This window comes from Homo sapiens, chromosome 3, assembly GCF_000001405.40.
Source record: "Homo sapiens chromosome 3, GRCh38.p14 Primary Assembly".
Lineage (NCBI taxonomy): Eukaryota > Metazoa > Chordata > Mammalia > Primates > Hominidae > Homo > Homo sapiens.
In genome coordinates this window covers 9,481,830-9,488,307 of record NC_000003.12, presented here as the reverse complement: position 1 = coordinate 9,488,307, position 6,478 = coordinate 9,481,830, and the positions used below count along the sequence as shown (strand labels likewise).

Sequence of the window (6,478 nt, the reverse complement as noted above, 5' to 3'; positions counted from 1 at the left end):
CAAAGTTTAGAGATTACAGGTGGGAACTACTGCACCTGGCCTTAAATAGACTTCATTTTTTCGAACAGTTTTTTTGGTTTTTTTTTGAGATGAAGTCTCACTCTGTCACCCAGACTGGAATGCAATGGCGCCATCTTGGTTCACTGCAACCTCTGCCTCTCAGGTTCAAGTGATTCTCCTGCCTCAGCCTCTCAAGTAGCTGGGATTACAGGCATGCACCACCACGCCTGGCTAATTTTGTATTTTTAGTAGAGGCAGGGTTTCACCATGTTGGTCAGGCTGGTCTCGAACCTAAGGTCAGGAGACCTCAGGTGATCCACCCGCCTCGGCCTCCCAAAGTGTTGGGATTACAGGTGTGAACCACTGCTCCCACCCAAGAACAGTTTTAAGTTAACAGCAAAATTTAGTGGAAAGTACAGAGTCCCAATATATCTCTTTCCTCCCACACACCCACAGCCTCCCCCTACATCAATATTCCCCACCAGAGTGGTACATTTTTACAACTGATGAACCTGCATTAGCATATCATTTTCACTCAAAGTCCATAGTTTACATTATGGTTCACTCTTGTTGTACATTCTGAGTTTTGACAAATGTATAATGGCATGTTTAGCCACCATTATAGTACCATACCGAACAGTTTCACTGCCCTAAAATCCATTGGTGCTCTACCTGTTCATCCTTCCCTCTCCCCTAACCTCAGGCAAGCACTGATCTTTTTGCTGCATCCTTATCTTTGCCTTTTCCGTAATGTCATGTAGTTGGAATAATATAGTATGTAGCCTTTTCAGATTGGCTTCTTTCATATAGTAATATGCATGTTAGGTTCCTCCATGTTTTTTTCATGGCTTGATAGCTCATTTCTCCGTCCCATTCCAGCTTTATTGAGGTACAGTTGATAACAAAAAAACGGTATATCAAGGTGTACAATATGATGTTTTGACATATATATACATTGTGAAACGATTACAATTGTGAAATGATTACAATTAAGTTTACATATCTGTCACCTAACATTGTTACCTTTTTTTCTGGTGAGAATGCTTTTTATTTTTAATTTTTTGAGACAGAGACTTGCTCTGTTGCCCAGGCTGGAGTGCAGTGGCATGATCACAGCGCACTGCAACCTCACCTCTCTGGCTCAAGAAATCCTCCTGCTTCAACCCCCCAAGGAGCTGAGACTACAGGCACATGCCACCATGCCCAGCTCATTGTTTTGTATTTTTTGTAGAGAGGGGATTTTGCCATGTTGCCCATGCTGGTCTTGAACTCCTGAGCTCAAGTGATCTGCCCACCTTGGCCTCCCAGAATGCTGGGATTACAGGTGTGAGCCATCACGGTCAGCCGAGAATACTTAAGATCTATTCTTCCAGCAAATTTCAAGTATACAACATATTTTATTAACTACAATTACCATACTGCACATTGGTTCTCCAGAATGCACCCATAACGGTAAGCTTGTACTATTTGACCAACATATCCCTGTTAATCCCCATCCCTTGACCCGTGGTAATTACTCTTCTACTCTGTTTCTATGAGTCTGACTTTTTTAGGTTCCACATACAAGTGAGATGCAGTATTTGTTTTTCAGTGTCTGGCTTGTTTCACTTAGTATAATGTCCTCCAGGCTCATCCATGTTGTTGTTGCAAATGGCAAGATTTTCTCTTTAAAGGCCAAATAATGTTACTGTGTGTGTGCATATATATATAATACATATATATGTGCAGTGGAATAAAATAATGTACTATGTGTGGGCATATATATACCTATATATAGATAGGCATGCACACACATATCTAACAGGTATGAGGTGATATCTCATTGTGGTTTTTGGCTTGCATTCCCCTGATAATTGGTGATAGTGATGGTGAGCACCTTTACATTTTTGTATATATAATGCATCTCCAACATTTTCTTTATCCATTCATCCATCGATGGACAGTTAGGTTGTTTTCATATCTTGACTACTGTGAATAATACTGCAATGAAAATGGTAGATGGCTCATTGAGATAGTGAGACAGCGAGATAGCCTATAGTTGGGATTTGTTTTTTATCCATTTAGCCACTCTGTCTTCTGATTGGAGAATTCAGTCCATTTACATTCAAGGGAATTATTGACAGGCAAGGACTTACTATTGTCATTTTGTTCAGTGTTTTCTGTTTTTGTAAATTTTTTGTTCCCTTCTTCCCCTTTTGCTGTCTTCCTTTGTGAAGTGATGAATTTTTACAGTGGAATGGTTTGATTCCTTACCCGTTATCTTTTGTGTATCTAGTATAGACTTTTGCCCTGTGGTTACCATGAGGCTTACATAAAACATCTTAAAACAGTCATCTATTTTAAGCTAATCACTTCCATACAAAAACTGTATACTTTTACTTTCTCCCATTTATATCTTTAAAGTAATGACTTACATATTTTTATACTGTATATCCATTAACAGATTATTGTAGTATAGTTAAATATTTGTCTTTTAACCTTCATACTAGAGTTTATATTAAGTGATTTATACACCATTATAGTATAGGATAGCTCATTTCTTTTTAACACTGAATAATATTCCATTGGATGTATCACCATTTACTTATCCATTCACCTACTGAAGGACATCTTGGTTGCTTCCAAGTTTTTGCAATTATGAATAAAGCTGTGATAAATGTTCACATGCTGGTTTTTATGTGGACCTGTTTTCAATTCTGGGGAAATACGCAAGAGTGCAACAGCCAAATTGTATGTTTACTTTTTAAAGAAACTGCTGAAGTGTATTCCAAAGTGACTGTACCATCTTGCATTCCCACCAACAATGAATGAAGAGTACCTGTTACACATCCTTGTCAGCATTTGGTTTCATTAAGTGTTTTAGATTTACCATTCTAGTAGGTGTATGATGGTATCTCATTGTAGCACTAATCTGCAATTACTGGATGATTTATGATGTTGGGAGTCTTTTCATACAATTACTTGTCATTTGTATATGAGGTGTCTGTTTAGATCTTTTGCCCATTTTTAAATTGGGTTTTTATTTTTCTTTTGTTGAGTTTTCAGAGTTCTTTGTATTGAATAGTCCTTTATCAGGTATGTTTTTTACAAATCTTTTCTCCTACTCTGTGGCTTATCTTCTCAATCTCTTGACAGTGTCTTTTGCAGAGCGATGTTTTAACTTTAATGAAGTCCAGCTTACCAATTGCTTTTTTCATGGATCATCCTTTTGGTGTTGTACCTAAAAAGTCAGTCAATTCCAAGGTTATCTGGATTTTCTCCAATGTTCATTATTTTAGGAATTTAATAGTTTTACATTTAGGTCTGTGTTCCATTTTAATTTTTATGAAGGATGTAAGATGTGTATAGATTCATATATATACACACACACACACACACACACACACACACACACACACATATATATATATAGCACGTGGATGTCTGGTTGTTCCTGCACCATCCATTACGGACTCTATCGTTTTGCTTTTGCTTCTTTGCCAAAGATCAGATGATTCTATTTGTGTGGGTCTACTTCTGGACTCTTTATTGTGTTCCAGTAATCTATTTGCCTAATCTTTTGCTGATATCACACTGTCTTGATTACTGCAGCTTTATGATGTGTTGAGGTAGTGTTAGTTTAAAACTTTAGAATTAGCCGGACACAGTGGCTCATGTCTGTAATCCCAGCAATTTGGGAGGCTGAGGCAGGCAGATCACTTGAGGTCAGGAGTTCGAGACCAGCCTGGCCAATGTGGTGAGACCATCTCTACTAAAACTACAAAAATTAGCCGGGCATAGGGGTGCACACCTGTAATCCCAGCTACTCAGAAGGCTGAGGCAGGAGAATCACTTCAACCTGGGAGGTAGGGATTGCAATGAGCTAAGATCATGCCACTGCACTCCAGCCTACATAACAGCACAAGACCCTGCCTTAAAAAACAAAACAAAACAGACAAACCCCCTTTAGAATCAGCTTGTTGATATCTACAAAATAACTAGCTGGTATTTGGGTTGGGATTGCATTGAATTTATAGATCATGTTTAGAAGAACTGATATCTTCACAATACTAGTCTTCCTATTCATGAACACCTCTATTTATTTAGATCTTTGATTTTTTTCATTAGTTTTATAGTTTTCGTCATGCAGGTCTTATACGTATCTTGTTGGAATTACACCTAAGTATTTCATTTTAGGGTACTAATTTATTTTAATTTTATTTATTTATTTATTTATTTATTTATTTATGCATTTATTTATTTATTTTTGAGACGGAGTCTCGCTCTGTTGCCCAGGCTGGAGTGTAGTGGCGTGATCTCAGCTCACTGCAATCTCTGTCTGCTGGGTTCAAGTGATTCTCCTGCTTCGGCCTCCTGAGTAGTTGGGATTACAGGCGTCCTCCACCACGCCCGGCTAATTTTTGTATTTTTAGTAGAGACGGAGTTTCACCATGTTGGCCAGGCTGGTCTCGAACTCCTGACCTCAGGTGCTCTGCCTGCCTCAGCCTCTTGAAGTGCTGGGATTATAGGCGTGAGCCACTGCGCCTGGCCTTTGGGCACTAATTTAAATGGTCTTGTGTTTATTTTTTAGTATCAGAGTGTTGCTCTGTCATCCAGGCTGGAGTGCAGTGGTACGATCATGGCTTACTGCAGCCTTGAACTCCTGGGCTCAAGTGATCCTCCCACCTCAGCCTTCCAAGTAGCTGGGACTACAGGTGTGCACTACCATGCCTGGCTTTGTTTTAAATTTCAAATTCCATTTTTCATTGCTAATATACAGAAATGTGATTAACTTCTGCACAACAATCTTGTATCCTATAGTCTTGCTATAATTGCTTAATTAGTTCCAGAGGTCTTGGAGGGCTATTTAGGGTTCTTTTGGATTTTCTACATCAACAATCATGTCATCTGTGAATATGAAGTTTTATTTCTTCCTTCTCAATATATACCCCTTTTAGTTCCCTTTCTTGTCCTATTGCATTGGTTAGGACTTCCAGTACAATATTAAAAAGGAGTGATAAGAGGGGACATCCTTGCCTTGTTCCTGACCTTATCAAGAAAAGCATCTAGGTTTTTGTAAATGTTCTAATTGAGTAAGTTCCTCTCTACTTCTGGTTTCCTGAGATATTTGTTACTTTTGAAAATAAAGAATTTTTTTTTTTGAGATGGGTCTCACTCTGTTGCCCAGGCTGGAGTGCAGTGGTGTGATCTCAGCTCACTGCAACCTCTACCTCCCAGGTTCAAACGATTCTCATGCCCCAGCCTCCCGAATAGCTGCGATTATAGACGTGCACCACCATGCCTGGCTAATTCCATGCCGGGCTAATTTTTGTATTTTTAGTAGAGATGGGGTTTCACCATGTTGGCCAAGCTGGTCTCAAACTACTGACCTCAAGTGATCCAACTACCTTGGCCTCTCAAAGTGCTGGGATTATAGGTGTGAGCCACCATGCCCTGCCATTTGTTACTTTTTAATGTTTTACCTGCATGTCTTTGGCATACTTTGATTGTCTCTATAGATGTTATTCTGCTCATTTTTACTTGTAGCTTTTTAAGACTTGCGTTTTTCTGTTATCCATTTTTATATGAAATTAGTGATTTTGCACTTTTAAAAAACAGGCATGACTTATGATAGTTTTTCATTTCATGGTTGTATTCTCATTTTTGGTGTGTATGTGAAATATTGAAATATGGACTGTGTGAACCATAGCTATTTAAATTCAACAATTCAACACAGAATATGCTTGCAACTTTATGAACAATTGTTTCTCTCAGGAGTTAAAGAACAAGTTATTTAATATCTTTATATTATTTCTGTAAGGATAGTACATTCTGAATTTTATGGGATAATCATAATTTTATTTTTCAAAATACTTCATTTAATCTAATAAATTTAATCCCTCCACACCCCCTTCCTTCATTTTGCATGTCCTGTTCAGTTTGGATTCTAACAAGGAATTTTGGTGTGGGGCATTGTCCTGTAAGGGCTTTGAATTAAGTTTCTTAGGTCCAGACCACTCCAGCCCTTTCAGGCCTAATCAAGCATCCTTTGTACTCACTGCAAACGCCACCTAGTTTCAGCTGCTGTTCTCAAATTGGCTTGGTGAGCTTTCAAGTGAGTTTTTTTTTTTTTTTTGAGACAGAGTCTCGCTCTGTCACCCAGGCTGGAGTGCAGTGGCGCAATCTTGGCTCACTGCAAGCTCCGCCTCCCGGGTTCACGCCATTCTCCTGCCTCAGCCTCCTGCCACCACGCCCGGCTAATTTTTTGTATTTTTAGTAGAGATGGGGTTTCACCGTGTTAGCCAGGATGGTCTTGATCTCCTGACCTCGTGATCCGCCCGCCTTGGCCTCCCAAAGTGCTGGGATTACAGGCGTGAGCCACCACTCCCGGCCTCAAGTGAGTACTTGTTATTTTGAAGTTCTGAGATCCATCAGATGTGCCATTGCTTCCACTAGAACAGATGGTGATACCATGCTGGTCTTGTGGCTATTAGTGGTT

The 6,478-nt window shown here is 39.3% G+C and overlaps 1 annotated feature.

The window, feature by feature from the left end:
- Nucleotides 4,877-5,077: a silencer, noted in NCBI's record as "peak4533 fragment used in MPRA reporter construct". NCBI's record gives its function as "represses an SCP1 promoter by STARR-seq MPRAs in K562 erythroleukemia cells {active_cell/tissue: K562}" and the evidence as "EXISTENCE:reporter gene assay evidence [ECO:0000049][PMID:32103011]".